Source organism: Homo sapiens, chromosome 1, assembly GCF_000001405.40.
Source record: "Homo sapiens chromosome 1, GRCh38.p14 Primary Assembly".
NCBI classification, from domain to species: domain Eukaryota; kingdom Metazoa; phylum Chordata; class Mammalia; order Primates; family Hominidae; genus Homo; species Homo sapiens.
In genome coordinates this window covers 36,846,241-36,871,044 of record NC_000001.11, presented here as the reverse complement: position 1 = coordinate 36,871,044, position 24,804 = coordinate 36,846,241, and the positions used below count along the sequence as shown (strand labels likewise).

General features: G+C 51.4%; 1 protein-coding gene across 1 annotated transcript in view, besides 2 other annotated features; it reads left to right on the top strand.

Moving 5' to 3' along the window:
* Window positions 1-24,804, top strand: part of GRIK3 (glutamate ionotropic receptor kainate type subunit 3) — a 238,989-nt gene that overhangs the window by 163,471 nt on the left and 50,714 nt on the right. Inside the window, exons 5-9 of the mRNA NM_000831.4 lie at window positions 1,244-1,297; window positions 11,028-11,201; window positions 11,794-11,937; window positions 17,323-17,430; window positions 20,621-20,734. Coding sequence (NP_000822.2) covers window positions 1,244-1,297; window positions 11,028-11,201; window positions 11,794-11,937; window positions 17,323-17,430; window positions 20,621-20,734 — 594 coding nt within the window. The remainder of the gene's footprint in view (window positions 1-1,243; window positions 1,298-11,027; window positions 11,202-11,793; window positions 11,938-17,322; window positions 17,431-20,620; window positions 20,735-24,804) is intronic.
* Window positions 11,404-12,262: an enhancer, noted in NCBI's record as "H3K4me1 hESC enhancer chr1:37324384-37325242 (GRCh37/hg19 assembly coordinates)". NCBI's record gives its function as "activates a minimal SCP1, AML or CMV promoter by ChIP-STARR-seq in naive and primed H9 embryonic stem cells {active_cell/tissue: H9 hESC(naive and primed)}" and the evidence as "EXISTENCE:reporter gene assay evidence [ECO:0000049][PMID:30033119]".
* Window positions 20,642-21,141: an enhancer, noted in NCBI's record as "H3K4me1 hESC enhancer chr1:37315505-37316004 (GRCh37/hg19 assembly coordinates)". NCBI's record gives its function as "activates a minimal SCP1, AML or CMV promoter by ChIP-STARR-seq in naive H9 embryonic stem cells {active_cell/tissue: H9 hESC(naive)}" and the evidence as "EXISTENCE:reporter gene assay evidence [ECO:0000049][PMID:30033119]".

The window sequence follows — 24,804 nt, the reverse complement described above, 5'->3', positions numbered from 1 at the left end:
CACCCAGCGTTGGGCATCTTTAAAGCTGCTGTCGAGGAAACACGCATGCCCCAGAAAGCCTATAACCCCTAGCCTCCCGATCAGCTGTGCCCAGTGCCTCTTCTCCCCCCTACCCCAACCCCCACCACCCAGACAGCATGTGTAACAGAAGAATGGTGACAATCACAGCTTTGGTTTACTCGGCAGTTGCCCTCTGCCGGGTCCATGTAGCTCCTCATTTATCACCACACTGGGAAACAGGGAGAATTCTTGTGCCCAATTTATAGGTAAGGAAACTGAGGCTCAAGGGGAAAGTAATGGACCCAAGGTCATCCAGGCAGGAAGCCAGAATGGACTCCCAGGTCTGTCTGATTTTAAAACTTCTGGAATTAGAAATGAAGATTCTGAGCTGAGCCAAAGCCAGATTTAAATGAAGTTAAGCCAATTAGCTTCTTGCAGGACTTCTCTGAGACTTTAACGTGCTGAGGTGGGCTGTGACTCTTCAAAGGCGGGAGGGAATGGGCAGCATTTGCAAAGTGTACTTGAACCGGTGACATTTTCCCCAGAGCCCTCTGTGGGCCCAGCATTCTGAGGAACTCTGTAGAAAATGCATTATAGTCATTAGTATAATAGATTATAGGCTTCTAATAAAATACATAAACTATAGATAGTGCAGACTTCATGATGGCAGACGGTAAGAATTCCACAGTGGCCATGTGGCCTGCTTTGTGGTCAGCCAGGACTAAGGGAGCAGGGATGCCTCAGCCCTTCTTGGGGAGGCTGAAGACAGACCTCCCAGCTCAGGCCTGGCTAGGCCAGGGGGTTAGCAGGGTTGGGGGGAAACGTACTGCCTCTGGATCCAGGACAGGGAGCTCAGCTGAGTGGAGTCCAGGGCACTTGAGAAGACAGCCTCAGACTGACGCCATCAGCATTTCTCTAAGTGTGGCAGGCCGGGAGACGCTTACTCAAAAGAGGCAGCTAGACCCCACGGGCCCTGCAGAATTTGGAATCTTTGAAGAATGTGACCCAAAAATCTGCATTTTAATCTGTCCCAGGTGACTTTACAGCACACTCCAGTGTGAAATCCACTGCTGTCTGCCAGGCAGTCATTGTCACTGTTCAGAGGTGGTCTCAGAGGACACCTTACTCCAAGCAGCCAGCCTTCCCCAACCCACTGCCAGTCCCATTCTCAGCCCTGGGTGGGGATGTGGGGAGGGCTGCCCAGGGGTTCCCTGCTGATCACTAACACTCTGCTTTTCTGCAGGCCATGGCCATGGGCATGATGACTGAGTACTACCACTTCATCTTCACCACTCTGGTAATGTACCTCTGGGTCCTGGCACGGGAAAGGGGTGGGACTCTCATGGATCAAGTTCATTGTGGCTTAGCCTGGGCCAGCCCACTGAAGACAATTGCTGCAGCTTCCTCAGGCTGTAGGGGTGGCCCCAGGTAAGGGCACAAATATGTCTTTGTGACCTGCCCACTTGTGAGAGGCAGCATCATGTTATAATTAAGGATGTGAACTCTGGAGCCAATGTGAACACCAGCTCCTCTGCTCACCACTGTGGTTCCTTGGCTAAGGCACTTAACCTCCCTGCCTCAGTTTCTTCCTCTGCAAAATGGGCTTCTGCCTCCTAGGATTACTGTGAGCACCAAATGAGTTAATAAGGTAACACGCAGTGCCTGGTACATGAGGAGCTCTGGAAGTATTCACTATTATGATTATCATGGCCCTCGGTTCCTAGCCCACACTTCCCCACGCATATCTCGGGCCTCACGGGAATTGTCGCTTTGGATTCTGTCCACATTCATACTGAAGTCTGCCCACTCACTGTCAGCTAGCCCAGCCCACCTACAGGCTCCAGATGGGTCCTGTCCAAACTCTGAGAACATTTAGGGCCATTTAAACCCATTAGGATAATTAGCTGTGGCCTGAGTTCAGCAGAATAAAGAGATTCCTGTGCCAAAAGGGCACCCATCCTGAGCCTCACTGCCTTGCAGATAGACACCTTCAGACCCTGCTGGGGCCCTGGGCAGACTATTCCACCCATCCCAGGTCTGAGGTGAGTGACAGCCTCACTGACCATCCTGTCGCTTTTCAAAAAGCCTCCTGCAGTATGTGTCTGCCCAGCCACTGCAGCCCTGTAGGCCTCTAACCATATTCATTCATTTATCCAGCACCCAGCTAGCTCTCCCTACCCAGCATCTATGACCCCGTAGGTTCTGAGGGTCTGGTGGAAGGCGGGAAGTTTGAGGCAGTCTTACAGAAAACCAGATACTTGAACTAGGCCTCGAAAGATCCATAGGAGTTCACCAAGGGAGAAAGAGGAAGGACATTGTATGCAGAAGGAACAGCATAAGCAAAGGCCAAGAGGCAAGTTAGCTCTTCATGGTATGCAGGAGCTGGCTTGATCCAGCGGGCGAGAGCCAATTGCATTATCTCCTCCTAAGTCCATGTCATGTTGGTAGCTTGAAATCACTGTGACGGGAACGCTTACACAATGGAAGTGAGCAAATGCTACAAATAAGAGCCGCCTCCCCCAGAGAGCTGGTTATTAAGCACTTATCCTCCCTACAGTCCCTCCCTCTGCACCCTGTGCCCACAGCAGAGCTCAGGAGCCACCCTGCGATTCTCCTGATCCAGGGCTCAGACCTGGGGACCTGCCAGGAGCCATGCTGGGAGAAAGGGATCCTGGAAGCTGGCGAATGAGATCAGGCAGAGTGAAGCCAGCTCCCCTGAATCCCTTCTGGATTTCCGCCCACCTAAGCTGGCTTCTTCCTGCCATGCTGTCTCCTGGAAAGTCAAGGGAGGCTACCAGACCCCTGAAACTCTACCTCTGTCCAGAGCTGGGAGCAGGGCAGAGGAGCAAGACTGGGAAGGTGGGGTGGGGCACATTCCAGGGGTCCACAACTTTCTCCCCACTCATGGCAGCCCTCCCCATCCCATCCTGAGATCTTAGGGTGCTGAGAGCAACTCCTGGACCCGGGGACACTAGGATCCTCTCTTTAAGACCTTCGATCTTGACCCCAGTGGCCAATGGCATTAACGTGGAAGGTACTGGGGTCACTGGGGTGGTGCCTTCCCCAGAGTCTTGTCCTGGAAGGTCAGCCAGGCTGCAGGGCTGAGGGGCCAAAGCTTCAGGCCCTGCCATTTTACCAACTCAACGACCCCCCACCCCGGCCTTGGAATGAGGCTTGAGCCAGGCAGAGATGCTTTTAATAGGATATTTACGGCTGGGACTTGGAGCAAGGCCCAGAGGGGGTTTAATCACAAGCCCTGTGCAGACAGAGTGGGTGGCGAGGGCAGTACTCAGGGTGGGTGAAGGAGATAGGAAGATTTTGTTCCTGCTCTGACCCCAATTCTACTGAAACCTCCCAATGTCCCAAGGCTTTCTGCTTGGTGGCTCTATCTTATATTCTGTGTTGGATCCATCTCTGTACACCCCTCCCACCCAAGTGCCTAGCTCAGTGCCCAGGACCTTAGAGAGCATTCTTTCTCTCTACCCATGGGCAGACCTCAGCTGATTGGCCAAGAAGTAGTCGTCGTCTGTCCCAAGGGTGGTTTCTGCAATCTTGCTGGTGACACAACCCTCACCCTGGGAGCATTTAGCTATATGGGAGCTAGTCATTTATTTGTCACCAAGACTGGAAATTAGTGAGTGGGGATCAGGGATGCTAGACATTCTATGATGGGCAAGATTCTGGAGATGAGTTGTCCAGCCCCAGATAACTATGGTGCCCCATTGAGAAACATTGACTGATGCTCAGCCAGTCCACAATTGGATCTGGGAAAGTGGGTGATAATCAGAGAAAGAGATGGTGAGAAGAGGCAGAGGAGGAATGGATGGTCAACTGGGATATGATGTACCCAGGGTAGCTGTGGTGTGCTAAAGTCTCTAGGGAACAGAGACTAGCCCCGGCCAGTGTCCATTTTTCTTCATTTTCTTAATCATCCATTGATTCATTTATCCAGCAGCCATATACAAATGCTCTCCAAGGTCCTGGGCACTGCACTAGGCACTTGGGTGGGAGGGGTGTACATAGATGGATTCAACACAAAGCTCACAAGCTGGTGGCTTCCTTCATGTATATAAGAAACAAGAACTGTGCCCAGTTAACCTCTCTGTCCCCAGCACCCACATAGAAGCTGGCACATGGTAGGTGCTCATTAATGTCTGGATGGATGGACAGATGGATGGACAGACGGCTGGATGGATGGACGGATGGATGACTGCAATGCAATGTGGAAAGTAATCCGTGAAATTGTCAACACATCATCATAGCAACAGTTAGTTAAAACCACTCTGATCCCAGTTGGCCTGAGTTAGAATTGAGACTCTTCCACTCCCTTGGGCAAGTTACTTAACCTCTCTGTGCCTCATTTTCTCATCTATACAGTGGTGACAGTAATATTACTACCTCACAGGATTGTTACGCTGAGTGCATTGACGTCATAAAATGCTTAGAACAATGCTTGGCACTTATTACAGTGTAAGTGTTAAATAAACTAAACATCCTGCTTTTGTTTTCTGTGTGCTCAACATACCCCATCCCATCCAAAATTCAGAACAACTTTCCAAGGGAGATAGACTCTCCCAGTTTTATAGAAACGTGGAAACTGAGGCTCAAAGTCACTCTGCAAGAAAGGAGCAGAGCAAGGATTTTTTCGCAGCAGGGAGCTGTCCAGCTCCAAAGCCCTCTGCTGAAACCTATCATGCTGAAAGTCCACACCAAGTGTTCCCTGGCCTCCTCTGGCTGGCTCAGATTCCACACAATGCCTGACCATGTTGGTTCAGGTGTGGTAATTGAGGTCAATGGGGAAACGGAGCCTCCTGAAATCCCAGCAGCTCCCATGCTACACCAGTTCCAAAACCCTCTGATTTTAGGGCTGGACATTGTGGCTCACACCAGTAATCCCAACTCTTTGGGAGGCCAAGGCAAGGGGATCACTTGAGGCCAGTACAAGACCAGCCTAGGCAACATAGTGAGACCCTATCTCTACAAAAATAAAAATATTAGCCAGGCATAGTCGGGCAGGCCTGTAGTCCCAGCTACTTGGAAGGCAAACTGAGGCAGAAGGATTGCCTGAGCCCAGGAGTTAGAGGCTACCGTGAGCTAAGATTGTGCCGCTGCACTCCAGCCTAGGGGACAGAGCCAGACCCTGTCACTTTAAAAAAGAAAGCAAGAAGAAAGCCCTCTGACTTTCCTCTTTACACATTTGAGGCCAGCAACAGGGCACTTTGCACTCCCCATTGACTGGTGGGGAAACCTGGCATCAGGCACTTCCTGAAGTTTCATAGCAGATCAGTGACAAGAGGCCTTGGCTCCTGACTCCTGGTCCTGTCCTTGGCTGTTCCAGCTGACTGTCCTTCCTCCCCACACAATCTGAGGGTCGGGAAGAATGGACCCTTCCAGGGAGGCATAGCCCTTGCAATACACACAGTTCTGCAGTGGAGTATGGGGCGGGGTCTCCCAGAGTATCTCCCAGCAGAACCCCATCGGTTGGAGCACCAGCTGTGCTCCTGGTCCTCTCCCTCAGTCATATCCTGCTTCCGGTCTTCAGGATCCACTTCCGGCCCTGTTGCCGAGGCCTCTACCTCGTGATCCTCCCTCTTTGTGCCCATTGGTCAGTTGTGGCTTATTTGGGAGGACAGTGGCATCTGGCATTTATCTCCTTCCCTTTAGGAAACCCACATCACCAACTCTTCGCCTCTAAAAAAAATTCTCCAAATTTGCTTCTTCCATGCAGAAGATATTTTAATTACCCCAGCTGCCATTATCTGTTCCAACCAGCTTTGAGCCATTCCCAGATAACCTCGCATTAATCAGCCCCAGCTGAGCCCCTGGTACATGTCATGTGTAGGTAAAAGCCTGGAGGTGAAAAAAGAATTATAATAAATTAATAGATAAGCAATCACAATTAATGCCACTTCCTGGCAATAACAGTGATATCATGGGGAAGATATTTTCATCTGTCATTCCTTAAGGCGATGTTTTCCAAGCTTCAGCTCCTACCCATTCAGACCCATGGGGTGCTAATGAATTAGTTTATTATGTTATGCTGAATGTTTCTAAAAGGTCCCTCGTCGATACTGAATTCAGTGTGTCAACATTTGGCATCGAGAACACAACTTTTTGCCAAGCAGCAAGGTTGCACACAGTTCACAGTGTACAGCACTTGGGGTCTTGGCCCTGGGCAGTCTGAATTAAAAAAAAAAAAAAAATGGAGCTGGACAAAAGAGCCTCTTCACCAGCTCCCCATTGTCATTGTCCTCGTATCACGGGGATGGGGGCACTCTGTGCCACAGGCCCTACAACACTTTGCAGCTAAGCCCAGGCTCAGGGGTTACAGGGAGGAAGGTCATCCCAATCACTACCACCCCAACCTGCCCCCTCCCGGGCTGTGATCAGCTGCAGCCTCTGTGTCAGTCTCAACAGACCAAATGCTGCCTCTGGAGACCAGAAGGGCTGGTTCCACCAGCACCCAAGCTCCCACCAAGGCCAGAGATGCTGCCCTTCACACTGAGTCAGGTTGGCCTCTGGTTACCTAGATGAGGGTAAATCGAGTCATGGAGGCCCTGGGCAGTCTAAAGCTTTGGCATCTTTCAAGCCTTAGATATCAGGTCAACACTGAATTGGAGAAGAGACTGAATGCCATGCAAGGAAAGGTGAGGAGGGCGCCCCCTGTAGGCAGAGCTCAGCTTCTCTTCCATGGTCGCAGCAGGTCAGCCCTGGCCCCAAACTTGCATAACACCACTGTCCAAAAGGAAATCCTTCCAGCTCCCCAGACCCTCCTGGTTGAAAGGCAGTTTGGGGAAGATCTCATCCTCCACCCCAGGCAGTTTACCAACCCTCTCCTAAACTTCCAGTCTGTAGATAACCCTGAGTTAATTAGCCCCAGCTGAGCCCCTGCTACATGTCACATGTAGATAAAAGCCTAGAGGTGAAAAAAGAACTATTATAATAAGTTAATAGATAAACAATGACAACTAATGCCACTTCCCGGCAATAACACTTATATCATGGGGAGGGTATTGGGTTGGTGCCATTAAAATAATAACAAAAACCACAATGACTTTTGCACTAACCTAGTATTTTCATCTGCCCTTCCTTGAAGCTGCCCCTGAGAGGAGGATGTGAAACACTTGTCGCTACATTCCAGGCTCTTCTCAGTGATGCTTAAGTGCCCCAGGAGCCACTCAGCTGGCTGACCCTTCTTTCCACTTTGGGTAACAGGAATATTCAGCCCATAGCTCATAGGGGAGACAGACCCAGACACAAGCAGTTGTTACCAGTGGCATGAAAGCCCAGAAGTCTCAGGATAAGAGCAGAATCGCGTCTGACGCACTCTGTTGTGCATGTGTACAGGAGCAATCAGGAGGGGCTTCCTGGAAGAGGTGATACTTGAGCTGATTCTTGGAGAATAGCTCACCCAAGAGAGGTCAAGAAGACAAGCATTCTTGCCTGGAAATAGAAGGCATACAAAGGTGCTGAACAGAGGGACGAGAAGCAGGACAAAGGGTACAGGGGCCAGCGAGACTGGGAAAATTAAGGCCTGAACTTGCATCCTGGGACAAAAAAATTGAGAGGGTAGGAAGGAAAGTGAGCCTGGAGGGGTGGAGAGCTTTGGAAAACTGTACTAAGGAATTTGTACCATATTCTGAAAAGACTACAAGGAGTCATGGAAGTATTTGAAGTGTGGAAATGACAGGCTTGGATTTATACCTTAGAAAGATCCCTCTAGTCCCTGCCCAGAGGGTGACTGCCCTGGCAGTGGGCATGAGTTGGGGGCTGGGCAGGTAGAGCCTCTCGGTAGGAGGAGATGCGTCATCATAGGGAAGAGGGAGGGCTCTGGAGCTGGGTAGCCTGGTGTTGACTCTGTCACTCCCCAGTTACAGAACCTTGAGCAAAAGGCCTAATATCTGTGTGGTTCAGTTCTTTCCTCTAAAATGGGGTGATAATAACACCATCCTAGTCGTGTGCCCATGTGAATCAATGAGTTAATACAAGTAAGGTACTTTGAACAATGCCTGCCATTCTGAGATTTGTAGGTGCTCAGTAAATGTGAGCTGACTTTGCTTGTTCTGATATTGCCAAGACGAGTAAGGTAGGAAGACACCAACCTATGTCTGCCCTGGGGGCTGTATGTACCCAGTAGCTGTCACAACCTCCTGCCAGACGAGGCAGAACATAAACATGTGTCAAACACATACATGATGTTTGATATGTCCCAGACATGTTCTAAGGGCATCTACAAACTCACTTATTTTCCTTGACAACTCTATATGGTAGGTGGCACTTTCAACCCCATTTTGCAGATGAGGCAACTGAGATGAGGAGAGAGGGTGAAACTCGAGCCCAGGTGGTCTGGCCCATGTCTGGCCACCTCAGGGAGCCGCCCTGGAGGAGCTGAGGGAGGGAGACTTCTTCTGGGATATTTATTCTCTCCCCTCTTTGCTGCCCTTCTCTGATTCGAGAGGCATCCTGATCTAAACCCAGACCCATCTGTGTGTGTTTCTCAGTCACGAGTAATCGCTTAGTGGCTTCTCAAAACACAGACTCCAGGCTCCACCACAGACTATGCATCAGCGTTATCTAGGTGTGGTTCATATTCTAGAAAAATAAAATCCCCAAAGACAGCTCTGATGCATGTCTTGTCCTGGACACCCACCGAGGACATAGAACATAGAGGGTTTGGAGTAAGACAATCAACGATGCATCAGTCAATGTTTAACAACCAGCTCTCTGAAAGGGAGAAAAAAGACAAAACACAGAAATCCTGATTTGTAATGCCTGCAAATGTCCATGGTACAAATACTCCTACCATGGCCAATACCAAGCTAGCCATGTAATGTCACTGAAGGCAGAGTTGGGAAGAAATGCTAACATTCAGCTCCCACTGGCCAGTGTGAGCCAGTGGCAGCACACCATTGAAATAGACCTGGGTACAAATTCAACTTTGACTTGTATGAGCTATGTGACCTTAGGTAAGTCACCTCACCTCTCCAACTCTCTTTTCTCATCTATAAAAATAGAATAGAGTGCTATTCAATGCCTACTTCACAGGGGGCTGTGAAGATGAAGCCATGGAGTCCTTGTGCAGGGCTGAGCACTGCCACCCCCCACTCCCTACTGACACTGGGGCCACAGAGACACCCTCTGGCCATCTCAGAGGGAAGCCCGCATCTGCTGAAGCCCCTCCCTCCTCTGTCACCCAGCCCCTTCCCCATCCCAGATCCTGACCTGGAATCAAGGCCATATTTATTTGGGCAAGCTTGGGACCAGACTTTCTTGCCTGGGCTCAAGTCTGCTCCAAACCCCTTCCCTACTCCCCAAATCATTGAAGAGGAAACCAACACAGTGCATTCCAGAAGGAGGCCACTTTGGGGATGCAGGAGGAACAGGATAAGTTTAGTGCCCATTAGAGACATCTCAGAGACCAGAGGAAGCCAGTCCAGCATGAAAGGTCTCTAGGCTTTATCACTCATCATCCTTCCATGAGTCATTGTTGATTTCACTAAAGCTGCGGCTGTGATGGGGCTGGATGTTCCCCATGACGGTGGCAGTCACAGAGAGTCAAGCACACCCCAAGTGTGTCCCCAGCCTCTCCTTCCCAGCACCAGATGGAGTGACTAAGTGGGGGGCCCAGGGGAGAAGACAGGCTGGGGGCCAGAAGGAGGGCAGCTTAGTGAGGGGAGAGTGTGGGAGAGTATAGACAGTAGACGAGGAGGAGCTCAGATAGTGACCTCAAGACTCAGTTTCCCCACTAGTGGGATAGGGCCAATCTAGACTGTGCAAGTATATATTTCAAAAAATCAAAACCATGAGTCTTATGCAAATATAGAAGGAACATGCGTCAGAGATGGATTCAACTCACTAACGAGGGAACCAGTAGGATGGAAAAGCTGACTCAAGGAGCATTTGAGGAATTGGGTATTTATAGGTATTTCAGGTAGGGTTGCGGGGAGCATAGACTAAGACTTCTAGGTTGGATAGAAAATGGATTAATGTCCTGTAAGGCAATAAAACCACAACCTTGGGGAGTATCTCCTCTATTTGACAAAATTCTGCAAATTAACCCAGAGTCTGAGCTTTTAACAAGTAGCTGACAATGAAGTCAAACCCAGGTGCATTCTCCAGAAGAATGAAGTAATACTGGAGGGCCTGGTAAACTATGTTTCATTGTCATGTTGGAAAAACGCACCGCTACCCTTCTGCCTGATTTCCAGGTTTGCGTGGTTTTCAACAGGACAGAGCTCAGCTTTGTTCCTCACTCCCACCTGCCACGTCCTCTGCCGCCATCTCTCCTAGCTTAGGGACACCTGGCTTCTCCCTCCACCTGCTTCCCCTCTCTGCCTCCTTCCTTCACCAGCCCACCCTGCCCCCAGACCCAGAGCTGCAGGGCGGGGCTACAGCCAGCCTCACCTGCGTTGAGACCCTGTTCTCCTGGACCCTTGGCAGGACCTGCCTGGCCCACGACAGACAGGCTGACCGCTGCTCAGCTGCTCCTAGGAGGCAAGGGATGAGGAGGTCCTGGCTGGGATCGGGGGAAAAGGGGGAGAGAAGAGGGCCATACTTTTTGAGTCCTAGGCAGAAAAGACTATTTTTAAATATCCTCTTCTAGGGGATAAAATGCTCCCTTCAGCCTCCCTCTGTGTAACAAGATGCCCAGAACTAGTAGGTCTCCCCTTTTGAAAGGAAGCAGCCTCATTAAGCTTCCTCTGCATGTGAGGCTGGGTATTTTATGTGAACTATTTCACTGGGTCCTAGAAAGGGGATTGAACCCCATTTGTGGATGAAGAAACAGGCTGAGATCCCCTGGTTAGCATGGAGGATCAGTTGCCCAAGTTCTGAGTCAGACTCCAGGTGCAGTGGTCCTATGGGTGCTCCTGTGACTACCCCGATATCCCGCACCCCCTCTGCAGGGCTTTGCAGGGAGCTGCGACCTCAGGCCCTGGGGCGGCCCTGATTAGGGAGTGGGTAGGAGGCGGGGCTGGAGTTCTCAGCAGTGAGCATGCCTTGGTTTACACAGACCTCTCTCTATCCAGGATCTCTACGCTTTAGACCTGGAGCCCTACCGCTACTCAGGCGTGAACCTGACAGGATTCCGGATTCTCAATGTGGACAACCCACACGTCTCGGCCATTGTGGAGAAGTGGTCCATGGAGCGGCTGCAGGCAGCTCCCCGGTCCGAGTCTGGCCTGCTGGATGGAGTGATGATGGTAAGGCGGCTGGGTGAGGTGAATTCCAGGGGCTTCCCACCTGCCTCCCTTCTTTTCTTCTCTCCTTCCTCTTGTTTCTTTCTTCCCTCCACCACTTCTCTTCTTGAGACCTTCCATGTGTCAGCCAGACCCCAGGCTAGGGATTGGGGACACAAACGTGAAACAGACAGTCCCTCCCCAAGGGACCCATCTGATGGGGATCCAGACATGTAAGCAAAAGGTCACAAAGAACAGGAATAAGGCCCAGAGATGCAGGTCACAGAGGAACTCAGGCTGTGACACACAGGTGTGAAGGCCGAGAAGGCAGAAAGAAGAAGGTGTGGTCAGGGCCTAGGTAGCAGGGGTGGGGTGGGTGGGCAGGAGAAGGTCTAAGCTGCAGAGGGGGGTGCTCAGGATGTTTGTAGAGCAGCAGAGTCAGCCAAGCCTGGCCACTCCTCAGAGGCGTAGACAGAGTCACCTCCAGGGCCTCTGGGCCTGTTCGCTCACCAGGACATCATGTACCTGTGGCAAGGGAGGAGAAGGGGGACAGGGCAGGGTGGGCTGAGGACTGGAGGGCCTTGGGAGCCGCTCTCAGGCAGGCCCTTCCCTGCAGACTGATGCAGCCTTACTGTACGACGCCGTCCATATCGTGTCCGTGTGCTACCAGCGGGCACCACAGATGACCGTGAACTCCCTGCAGTGCCATCGGCACAAGGCCTGGCGCTTTGGCGGCCGCTTCATGAACTTCATCAAGGAGGTGAGTGCCCCACAGCCCCCACCAGTGTTGTCTCCCCGGGACTGTGGGCCCTGTAGAGCAGCAGAGTGGTCTGGGAGTCAGGAAGGATTGATTCTCATCCATGTGACCTCAGGCAAGTTGCCTCATGTCTCCGAGCCTCAGTTTCCCGTGTGAAAATGGGCTCCATAGGACCAAACTTATGGCATGATTGAGGGGCATACATCTTGGGCATGTGGTAAGTGCTCAGCAGCTGGTCAGCATTGCCAGCAAGATGCAGCGTGGGCTTGAAAGTACAACAGATGAGGGTGTTTGCTTCCTCGCTGTATGACCTTGGGCGAGCTGGAGAGCCTTGCTGAGCCTCAGTCACCTCATCTGTGAAATGGGTATATGAAGCATAACCTACCTCGTGGGCATGTGAGATGAAGTTAGACATTGCGTGGAAAGTGCTTAGTGCAGGAGGAGGGTCAATACATAATAATCAGCCCCACAAACTCATCTTCACATCATGGGCCCACTGACCAACTTCCCAGCCAGCACCCCCACTGGGACCCACCTCTCCTGGTACCAGCTCTCCTGTGGAAAACCCCATCAATGGAGCTGATTCTAGAGAAACCAGAGAATATGGAAACTGTCCTGCTGCCTAGACCATGGAACACACAGTGCCTACTTTTATTTCAAAGGCTTCTCCATCTGCCACTGTCCTTGTAAGCTTTGGATGGCAGGGCTTATTGTCCCCATTTTATGGATGGGGAAAATTAAGGCCTGAACTTGCATCCTGGCTCTGTTACAACTAGCTATGTGACTTTGGGTGAGCTGATTAACTCTTTGATCTTCAGTATGATATAGTGAGTGCCTGCCTGAAGGCGGTGTTGGGAAGACAGTGAAAAACTATGTGCAAAGCACCTAACCCAGGACCTGGCCAGAGTCAAATCCCAGCAGATGATAGACAAAGAAAATTGGGGAGTATGAGATCTAGGCAGAGTCATCCTGGGCCAGAGGGAGTGACCATGTCCAAGGCAACACCAAGGGCAGTGGGGGAAGCCCTCTAGAAGGACTCGGGATAGAAAGGACAAATGAGCTCTCTGTAACAATCACAGCGGGCCGGAAATGAAGCCAGCTGCCTTCTTAGGAGCACACTCATTTATTCAATCCCACTTTGTGACTGGCAGCTGGGTTCCAGGCTCCTAGCTATGCCCTGGGGGCCCAACAGAGCTAAAACAGACTCGCCTGTGCACATGCAGATCCTAGAGAGGGAGGCATCAGGTCACAGCACTAAAGGAGAGAATCCCATATGTAAATAAAGGCAGCTCTACGAGAGCAAACAGCAGAGAAACTCCCCACCTTGGATGGGGGTTGAGGGAGGGCAGCTTCCCCTGAGGTCCCAAGTTCACCATCGCTGCTTCCAGATGAGGCCAAGTACAGCTCCTCTCACACAGTAGAACAATAAATGTGGATAAGATACAGGCTTTAGGGCACCACACATGTGCCTTTGGATCGCGTCTCTACCTCTTCCCAGCTGTGTGGCTTCAGACACGTTATGGGACATCTCTGAGTCAGTTTCCACACCCGGCAAACTCCACCTCACAGTTATTGTGAGGGATGAATTCAGTGCCTGACTGGAGTCCCTTGTAGTTCCTTCACCCCTAGAAGGGACTCCAGTCCCAGATGTTTTGGCATAGGAGGGCCTGATGATCCCTTCTCATCCAGCTTCCCATCCCTCAAAACTGCACAGGACATCCCACTGTCCAATGCCCTGAGCAGGGCCCTGGCTGGGCAATCATCCGCTTGCTCTCAGGGAACTCTGAGACCTGACTTCTGGCCCCCTGTACCCCCTTCCTCAGCAGGCCTCCAGCTGAGCAGCCACTGTGTGAGGCCACTGTGAGGGTGTCGGTGTCCCAGGCCACACCTCGATCCTATTGCTCCTCTGGCTCAATCGGGAAATTTGGGAGCCTTAGGAGCCAGACAAAAGTGACTTGGAAGCTTCACCACTTTTTAACTGGATAACCTTGGACAAGCTACTGAAGCTTTCTGTGCCTCAGTGTCCTCCTCTGTCCAGTGGAGATAAAAATAGCACCTTATCATCAGGTTGTTCTGAGGATTGGTGAGTTTTGGCACGTGTGTCGCACTAGGGACAACGCCTGGCTCGTAGCAGGTGCTGAACAGGTTGGCTGCCATCACTGTTACTTCCACTATCGCTACTGTTATCACTGTGCCTTCCTGTTTGCTAATGGGGTTCCACTACCAGGTCTCCAGGCCACATTGTTTCAGGGACACCCACCCTGTTTACACTTTGCCCCTCAACCCTTGGAAATTTTGAGGCTCAGCCGTGAGTCCCTGAGGGGAGCAGATTCACCACTGCCCACCATAGAAAGAGGAGCTCCATTCTCCTTCCCAGGCCCAACGAGTGACCCTCACTGCTCACACTCCCTCACAGAACCCTTTCAGAAACATTTATCCTATCTCCATTTTACATCCATGGACATGGCTAAGGCCCAGAATAGCCCCGTGGTACCTGTGGTCCCACAGCTGGCCACAACCGAACCTCAGATGCCTGCCCGACCCCAGCACAGTCCTCCGTCAGACCATTTCCAACTTGCCCGTCTCCCCATCTGATTGCATGACAGTAAATCATTTTAAAGACTTGGCATTTCCGAGAGGAGCTGGAAAATACCAGGCCGGAGTTCAGAGCGTGTGAAGCATCTTTCATTTAGCAAGTCCTGAGCGGTGGCTAGAGGGGGCGGGCAGCGCAGGAAATGTCACTGGGAGGAGCTGCCTGCACTCCCTGGCCTGCCCTGTCCACCCGCCCACAGACAGGCCGTGCACCTGCTGGCATTTTATACCTCTGTAGCTGACAGGCAGGAAGGCTTCCCTCACAGTGCAGGTTTGAAGGCACCTGCTGTGATTTCCCCTGGGGGCCAAGAGATAGCCTGAAGGCGTGAGGCCAACAGAGGAGAGAAGGCGGAGGGACTGGGGAGCCAGCCTGAGGGAAGCTGAGTTTCCCTGTGAAGTCATAAACAGTGGCTTTTACCTTCTCTGATGCATCTTTTAATCTCTGTTCCCGACCCCTCGGTCCCCAGCTCCCTAGGCACCATGTAAGCTTCCCCGACTCCACCTTAGGTGCCTCGACCCCAGGACTTTCAGCACTGCTACTGCAACGAATCTGTCTTGTCCCACCCAATACTTGAGACCTGCATCATTCAGTCCCTCTTTGAGCCTCAGTGTCCACATCTGCAAAATGGGGGCAATGCTGATGCCCACCTGGCAGGGTCACAGTGAGGACTGAATGCGCTCATGTGGGGAAGGATAATAGCCCTCTGTGACCAGCTTTCTACTGGAGCCTTGGGCCAGGGCCCAAGTGACTGGTCCTCCCTTCCCAGCCAAGGGCCAGCCCTAATCTAAGGGAGCTGCACAGATGGAAGCCACGAAGGAGAAATAATAACCTCTGTCACATCCTTGTGATTGTGTATGCAGGCACTGTGCTCAGCGCTCTATATGCCTTTTTATACCTGTGAAGTAGGTAATTTCTCTCTTCCTGAAGCTCAGAGTGGTTGCTTTGTTTGTGCAGAGCCCACTTTCTAACCACTTTGGTTTTATAGCCTCCCTCTCCTCCAAAGCACAGCCCCACTGCCTGAGTTTGCATATGCACATTTACCCAACTACCCATTTACCTGTAAAAGTACCTTGGAGCTGCCCATGTGCTTGGAGATGTCTAAGGGTTTTCATTTGGGATTTGTCAATGAAACTCCAGGGAACTGTGGACCCCTGACCTTGTGGGTTGAACTGTGAGTGTATGCATGGGTGCTGGGGGCATTCCGCAGGGAGAGGCTGTGGAGCCCGATTCAGAATCTGCAAGGGAGCATGGCTCGGAGTGGTTAGGAACCCAATGCGGCAAAGCAAGGACTGGGAGCCAGGCTCCCACTACTCAGACCTTCCATTGCCCCGTGCCTCTTCTCCGGATACCCTCCCTCCCCTACCCTCTCTCTGGCCCAATCTGGCTGTGTGAGCTCCCAGATTTTCTCCCCTCCTCTTGCTCCCAAGTGCACATTTGTTCCCAAGGACTCCAGGATGTGTGGGCCTTGTTCTTGCCCCTGACACAGAAAGCTCGGGTATTTAACTGTGCACCAGCTGCCGTCCTAAGTTCCTGGAGGAGGGAAACAGGTCCAGACCGAGGGGTCCTGGGATCACGGGTTCTAGTTTGGCTCTGCCTCTTGTTCACTCTGTGAGCTTGGGCGACCCATGGCCCCCTTGAGGTCTGCTTCCTCGTCTGTAAAGTGGGAACCATGATCCTTGCGTGGCCACCTCCCATGGCTGCTGTGGAGGTTGCACGGCATGAACAGTGTGAAAGGACCACGTAGACTCAGTGCTCTCAGCCCGCAGGAAAGATGTTATCTAGAATCAAGTTAGCAAGCTTTCTCTGTAAAGGGGCTCATAGAAAATAGTTTAGATTTTACAGGCCACACAGTCTCTGCTGCAACTAGTCAACTCCATAGTTGCAGCACACAAGTAATATATAAACACGGGGGGCATGGCTGTGAGCTAATAAACCATTTACAGAAGCAGCCAGGGGCCAGGTTGACCCGCTAGCCATAGGACGCCAACCCCTGATGTAGAAGATGGAGCTTTTCCCACTTTAGGTCTGCCCCAACCTCTGCCTTCCTCTCTCTGTGTTATTAATGACGCTAATGACGATACAAAAATGACAAAAAAGCTACCATTTATCCAGTGTTCATCTTGTGCCGGGACCGTTCTCAGTATTTTATATGACTTATCTCATTTCACCCTTATAGCATTTGGTAAGATGGACACAATGATTAGTTCCATTGCACAGATGAGGAAACTGGGGCAGACGGGTAAAATGAAATACCCAAGGTCGCACGGCTAATTGTGGTTGGACCCAGCATTCAGACGCCAGAGTTCTTAACCACAGCACACATGGGGCTGGAGCTGGGAGGTTGGGGGGTGATTTCGGTCTCCCCTGCCTTTCGGGGGGCTATGCCAAGCGTCTGGTTCTACAGCCAAGGCCAGCTTGGCCCTTTGGCTTTTCTGCTTCTTGGCAGGCCTCACCTGCCCTACTCTGCCCGCCTGCCTCCCTACCCATCTCCCAGGATCTGACATGGGCTCCCCCTTCCCATGACTTCAGGGCGGGGGCTCATTTGAGCGCATCCAAGATCGATGTTGTACACGAGAAGGTGCAAATGTAAAGCTGGCTAAAGAGCATAATAGAATTTATGGAAATCGCTGGCTCACACCGCAGCCCGAGCAATGATGGAGGTGATTATTAATTAATCATGGTCTTGGGGGAACAGTATCAGTGCAAGGAGTAATTAAAATGAAGCATTGTACAGTTGTACCGAATGATGATTTATAAGCCCGAGGAATTGCCGCTCTGCCCTCTCCCCTCCGCAGGCTCAATGGGAAGGATTAACTGGACGAATTGTTTTCAACAAAACTAGTGGCTTGCGGACGGATTTTGATCTGGACATCATCAGCCTGAAAGAGGATGGCCTGGAGAAGGTGCGTGGTCTCAGGAGAGGGAGGGCAGGCGGAGGAGCAGGGGCTTCTTAAATCTCCTAGGGCAGACCTCAGTCAGAGGCCCAGAGGCAAGGGGCAAGACACAGTCCAGCTGCCCCTCAGGGATTGACTTGGTCCAGTGTAGCCTGTAGCTCTTGGGGGCCCATCAGAGAACAAGAAGGCCTGGTTGGACTGGAGGGTACAGAAGCCAGTGGCCTGGCTGCAGCAGACACCCACACTGTCACTCTGTGAGTAAGGGTCATTGGGGATGCCTAACCTCGGAAGCATAACAAAGGCCCATGGGGTGGATGGACTGTCTCTGAGTCCCTGCAGGGCTGTCATGGAGCAGAAGGACAGACATGTTCTTGGGTAAAAATTTAAGAATATAAAAAACATAAAACCTTTCTAACCAGAGAGTATCTCCCCTGTGAGTAGTGAGCTCACTGTCACTGGAGACATTTAAGCAAAGATAGAGCAGTTGCTTGTCTGGGAGACTGAAGGTGATTCTTTCCCTTGGAAAGAGGTTGAAGCACATGGATTCTGAGCTCCTTCGCTCTGGGCTTCTAAGGCCTCTGCGATTCCAGAGAGTTTGGACCAGGAAAGCGGGCCTGCCTGGGGCTGGGGCCTCCCATCTGGCTAACATAGAGATGTTTTAATGAGGCCAATCCCAGTCCCTGGGAACCTTCAGCATATTCTGTCAATGTCAGGCTGCTGGGCCAAGAAGGGAGATTTAATACGAGCCCTCAATTCACAGCATCCCCTGGGACCTGGATTCTGGGGGCTCAGCCACACTCTGTCCCCAGCAAGTGGGTCCCTGGGAGCCACAAGGGCACCTCCCCAACCCTGCAAGTTGCTGTGTATGAAATGTAGTGAGCAGAAGCCAGCAGAGTGGAGGGGCCACTTCGGATGCCTCTGGGGCTCAAGACTCTGATTTCGGTCCTCTCCACCCCGGCAGTGCCCTGGTTCAAGCATTTTATGTGGATTATTTTAACATGCCGCCCTGGTTCTTGAGCCCTCCAGCCATCCAGAGTGTACACACAGATGAGGCTTCCCCAAGCACAGCTCTGCCCTGCTCTGAAACTGCCCATGGCTCCCTAGTGCCAAGTCATTAAACTTCAGCTCTCCAAGAAATGCACCAACTGGCCCTTCTGGGCCTCGTTTCCACATTTCCCTGAAACATACCCCATGGCCCCATCATGCTCCCTCCCTCCTGGACCTCCAGGCCATTGCCCACACAATTGCCCTGGTTGCAGGATGTGACCTCTGTCCCTCAGGCAAAGGCTGGCTCTGCCTAGCTCAATGCTGTCCTCCTTGTACCTGTGGCCACAGTTATTCCAGTCTCTCCCGACTTTCCCACCTACTCATGGGAGCCACTGTGCAAGGGAGGAGGTGGCTGGGGAAGCCTCCCTATTACTCTGTAATTATTTCACACCATATATAGCATCAGTCCCTTAATAACAGGGGCTGTGGCCTCCCCTCCTAAGATCACAGGGGCCAGTTTGCTCAACCCTACACAAACTCTATGAGTTCTCATCAAGCGATCTTCCAGCTTCTATTTAAGCTCCTGCAGTGATGGAGAGCACCCTTCCTCCTCTGGCAGTGCTAGAGTGAATGCAGTATTCACTCAAGTAGCTGTCCCACTTTTGCTCTCTCAGCTACCCATCTCTAGGGATAACCTAAAATTCTAGGGAGGGCAATTAGGTGGCACATATGCCACTACTTCCCACCCTGTGCCATAAAAGGCATCAATAATCCGTCATTTGAGTACTCTTTCCACCTGATCCCACCTGCAACATCCTTCTCCAAACAGCCCTCCAGGCAGCTGGTTCAAATTGGCCGTAGCTAATACTCAAGAAAAACTCTATTATCCCTGGGCAGAGGTTAGCCTGCCAGAGGCACTCACCAAGGCACCGGGTCACAGCCACCCGGACTGTGAGCACAGAGCCTCCACAGGCTGGGTCCTCCTCAGTCCTAACTGGCCTCACATCTCCATAGCACCTGGTATCTAACAGAGCATGCAGTTGGAGCTCAAGTGAGGGTCTGTGCTCTTCATGTGGCCTCTGAACAGATGTTTGCCAAGCACCTCCTGCACCCAGGTGCTCTGCTAGGCACGCTCAAAGTGAGCTTGGCTCTGAGCTCAGCCCACTTAAGAGAAGAGCCTCTTCGATGCCGTCTACCACTTTCCTCTCCTCAAGGCCCTGGGTGGTCTATGTAGGCAGGGATCCCGCCCTGAGAGGATGCTGAGCTCCCAAACACAGCTACTCTGCCTCTCATATTATCACTTGTTTGCTAAGCCGGGTCATAGCTGATCCAGCCAGCTCCAACCGGTGGCTTTGGGAGGATTAAGGCAGAATTACCCAAGCATAATTACATGTCTCTCTGCTGTCTGCTCTGCGCAGCTCTCTTAATGGGATGTTTGCATTCAGCCTCTCTGTTTAATTGATTAAGTGTCCTGAGTAGCCCCCCTAACTGGGCCAAGGACAGAGTGGGCATGCAGAAGCCTTCCTTGAGTGAGAGGAGCTGAGACCAGGCAGAGCTGGCCAGAGTTGGGTCAAAAAGGATCTTCAAGAGGCCCAGGGCTTTAGGATGATTTCTAAACTTGACCTTTCCTTCTCTACCTCTAGCCTCAGGCCCGATATCCACAAGGACGCTGTAGAGAGAGAGATTATTCTACCTTAGTCTGTGTGTCTGCCAGTTTTAAATGTAAAACCACAAAGCAAACTGCCTTTAAACCCAGCAGCATTTCCCAGTGAGGTCCATCCCCTCCTTGTGCTGCCACCCCAAAACAGCCACAAAGACTGTGTCCCAGGGCAAGACCTGGCACTGACCATAGACCCCTGATTCCCTCCAGCCCCTGATTGGCATCTGCTCAGCCCTGAGACCCCTGGGGCTGCCTTCGCATTTGCTGTCTCTCTCTGCATTTTCCCCTTCAGCTGTGATGGGCTTGCCAGCAAGGGAGGTGGCAGAATTCAGAGATTCGACACCCTGGGACCCTCGTCAGGAGAGGAGGGAGAGCTGCAGGGATGTTGTCCAGAACGGTTATAACTGGAAACACAATGGCAGTGGTGATGATGATGATGATCATGACAATGAGGCTCATGATGAATGGGAATGAGATGAAGGTCTTGTCGATATGGAGGAAGATGGGTAGACCAAGGACTCGGCACCCTGTTTTCTGTCTGTGTCCATCCAGGTTGGGGTGTGGAGTCCTGCCGACGGGCTCAACATCACTGAGGTTGCCAAAGGCCGAGGCCCTAATGTCACCGACTCTCTGACAAACAGATCACTCATTGTCACCACAGTGCTGGTAAGAGCCTGCAGCCCCTGCAGGAAGGACTGTCCGACCTGGGGGTGGGGTGGCCGTTCGGGCTGGAGAGTCCCCTCTATCCCCCCCACCCAGAAGATGGAGGCTGCAGGTAGGTGGAGACTTTTAGAGTCAGCAGGAAGTTCTCAGAGAGCAGCTGGAGCGCAGCAGCGCTGCTCGCTGCCACGGGCGGAAGCCGCTGCGTTTTTGTGTCTCACTCCCACTCACTCCCCAAGTCCTTGATGTCTGAGTAGGAACCATGCTGGATGGTGGAATTAAGGGGGTTTGACAGCCCATTGCAACCTGAGTGAGGATTCGCCTCTCCCACCCCAGTTCCCAGGCAAAAGCCTTTCCCACAAGTCACCCCAGCTGTGGTGGGTGCTGTGGCCACACCTCGAGAGCCCAGCAGGTGCTGGGAGCCTGTACACATGCCGCATTCTATAGTGGCCCTTCCGAGAGCCGTCAGCCACTGCCACACCCCCTGCCTGGAATCACACCCCATCTTCTCTCTATTCCCCAACTGAATAGCACCGCCTTCTCCTGACCTGTTTCAAACCAAGAAGCAACTCTGGGGGCCTCCCATGGGCTCTCTGCACCTTTGAGCTCATGCGGGGGCAGGAGGACAGACCCAGGCTGCTGACCCCCTTGTGCTGCCAGGGCTGTGCCCACTCCACCTGTGCCTGTCCCTCCTGGAAGGCCTCAGAGGTGTCCAGAGACTCAGGACAGATCCTCTCAGGGACACAGCCCTGCTTTTGGGGGCTCAAGCCGAGCCATCTTGGGGAGAGGCAGCCCAGTCACAGCCTGGTGAATTATGACTGAAGACCCTTTGAGGACAATGCTAGCTCTAGTCAGCTCTGACTCATAATAAAGCAAATATATTTATAAGGACCATATGCTGGGGTCATTCCTCTACACAAAAGGGAGTTCAACCCGTTTTGGATATAGTGAGGCTGCCTTGGAGCAGAACCCAGGACAGACTGGTCACCCTATACCTGGCCCCTTCCACGGTGCTCAGATGGGGCTTGTTCTCACCCATGTGCCCTCAGAGGCAGCTGAACCAGGCCCTACTGGGTGGCCCTACCTGGGATGATTCACCATATATGTGCTTGGTGGCTGGGTGGCAGATGTCATGGAACAGGAAGGGAAGTAATGGGGAAAAAACCATTCTTCCAGGTAGCCCAGTGAGTGGCAGATACCAGGCATCCTGTCGGCATCCAGAGATAAATGTTAGCCTGTGAGTCTCACCATCGGCCCTCGGGGTTAGGATGATTGAGAGGATCTGAGCTAAAGATGATGGAGATCTCACGGTGGCTCCAGACAAGCTGCCCACAGAGCCTGAAGAGGTGGTCTTAGGGGACACCTGTCCCCCTCTTTGGGGCAAGACCCCTACTATCTTCTTCCCTAAAACCTCACATCCTGCTGGCCTTTATTGATCAACTTTTTGTTAACTAAACAAATATAAAAATCAGTCTGCTAAAACCAATAAGCAAAAATATCTCAAGAGGAACAGGGTTAAAAAAAAAAAAAACCTGTGATGTAAAAATGTAAAGGATGAAAATAAACAAATAACAAGAGCAAAGGGATTAGGGTGAAGACTAATGGGCAATTAAAGGGATATTGATGTGGATAAAAATAGAAAAGATAAAGGAGGGTTAAAAAGAGAACAAAATAAAAAGGTTAAAAGGAAAATAACAAAGAGAAAATGAAGATAAGGAATGAGATAAAAAGGAAAGATAGTAAGAAAGATGAAAAATTAAATAATTTATAGCTCTGACTAGACAAGGTAAAAAATGTAACACCCAAATGTCAAAAAGCAAAAGGATAAAAGTGTGACAAAGCTAAAATATAAAAGGGTAAAAATAAAATAATAAAAAGGTGCTAAAAGATTAAAAGCAGAGCTGCATAAAATGTGAGATATAAATAAAACACTTTTCACAAGGCAAGATTAAAAAAAGGTAAAACTAGGATGATTTAAGAGATTAGGAAGAGAGATGATTAAATGAGCTAAGGTGAGTCAGTCACAAAACAATACTCTGAACAGTAAGAGGCAAGCTAAAGGTAATATACCAAAAGGATACAAAATATAAGCACCTTGAAAGATCAAGGGGTTAAATTTTATTAAAATGGTAGCAGCCTGATTTCAAGGGCATAAAACCCTTCTGCAGGGGCACAGGGGATTTTTGCTACATAAGCAGAGGCAGAATCCAGGAGACACCCCATGCTCTCGACCTGTGAGTGCTTACAGCTTCTCTGTCAATACTTGCAGCTTCTTGCAAAGATCCCCGACCTGCTGTGCTCACTGAATCCCCAGAGGTTGCATTCCCAGTATCCTGCTGGTTCCTAGGTAGCCCAGGGCTAGGAAAGCAGAGAACCCCTCTTGGCTCATAGCCTGGTCACAGCTCCATCTGTCCCACAGCCTCTCAGCTGCAAGGCATCTGGGCAGATACAACCCCAGAGCTCTTTGGGACATGCAGTGCCACCAGGACATGAGGAAAGAACAGTTTGATGATCAAAAGCACAGACCTTTGGGGTGGAGTCCTGGCTTTGATGTTGATTTGCCATATGACCCTAAGAAATTGCTTATCCGCCCTGTGCCTCAGTTTCTCCACCTGAAAAAGGGAGGTGTTAATAACTGCACCTACTTCATAGAGTTCAGAGCATGAATGATTAATTAAGTGGCACAGAGTGCGGTCTAAGTGACAGCTGCTATTGTTATTCATTATTATTGATTACAAATCCAGTCCCCAGTGAGCTCAGCTTGAATACAGCATGCTGAGTGAGAGATCTTGAGAAAATCTCCACTTCTGTCCACAGGCAGAGCCCTGAACTTCACCAAAGACCCCTGCCCATGGCCACAGAGGTGATCTCTAGCACAGGCTGTTCTGTTACAAACTTAATTTGCATTTGAGTGCCTTCCAGTTTCATGGCCATTCCCTGGCTCACCATAGTCCCCCACTCTGCCCCCGAGCCCTCCCTATTTGTTTACACTGGGCTGCTTCTTATAGTTGTGTTTCTCAGCTGGCCATTGGAGGCATTAGGGTTTGCAGCCTCATGGGTCCCTCATAGTCCTAGTCTCCTACTGAGATATAGAACTCCAGATCAACCACCACCTCACCTTCTACCTTGGCCACGGTCTCAGCTCCTGAAGCAGATATCCCACCGCCTATGGATGGGGCCACTGACCATCTTAACCCCATCATGTAGTATCAAATACTCACATGGCCTGGGGGTGACTGATGATTCAGCTGTCTCCATCCCCACTGCCCAGAGATCACCGGAGGGTGAGGTGTGCTTCCCCCTATGGGGCAGTGAGAGAAGCCTACTGTTTCCTGGAGGCAGGGGAATGGAGGGAATGACCTCTGGAGTATCCCTGATGGGGATAGAGGATGTGACACAGTCTTTACATGGGCTTCCAAGAAAGTCTGTCTAGCCAGAAGTGTCCTTGGAGTCTCCTGAGGAGAGATGCTCGCTCCCATGCAAGGACTGGCCTAGGGCCCCCTGAAACTAGAGCTGCTCCAGATGCTCCAGAGAATGTTCCCAAAAGGCTCTGCATGGTCTGCATGTCTTGGAGCCCTAGGGGATGCTCTCAGGCTTGGGCTCTTTGGGACAGCTAAAAGGTGACAGGGAGTGGCCCAGCCCCAGCCACTGTGGCTGAAAATCCAACCCCATGCTTCGCAGCCTGAATGTAGGGCCAGCACCTCCTGCTGAGAGCACAGCCCCAGCCTGTCTGGGAGGATGTTGTCAGGGCAACAGTGCTTTGAGTGACAGGCAGGTCCCAAGGTACCAGTACACAACATCAAACTGCTCTGCCTCTAGGGAACAGGGCCTGGATCCAAGACCCCTGATAAGGGGGAGTTTCTCCTCCCCTTTCTTTCCCAGGAATCTGGTGTGGCAGAAAGCAGCAGCTCTGTGTGAGCTGCCACCAAACCTACCTGCTATTCTCCCCTCTCCTAAACCCCCAGCGTTAGGTGCTAAAGATGCCTTACCCTGGACAGACAGATGGACAGAGCCCTGGCACTGCCCTTTCTGGCCCCTCAGAGCCACTGGCAGCCTTCCCCATTCCTGAGATGGAA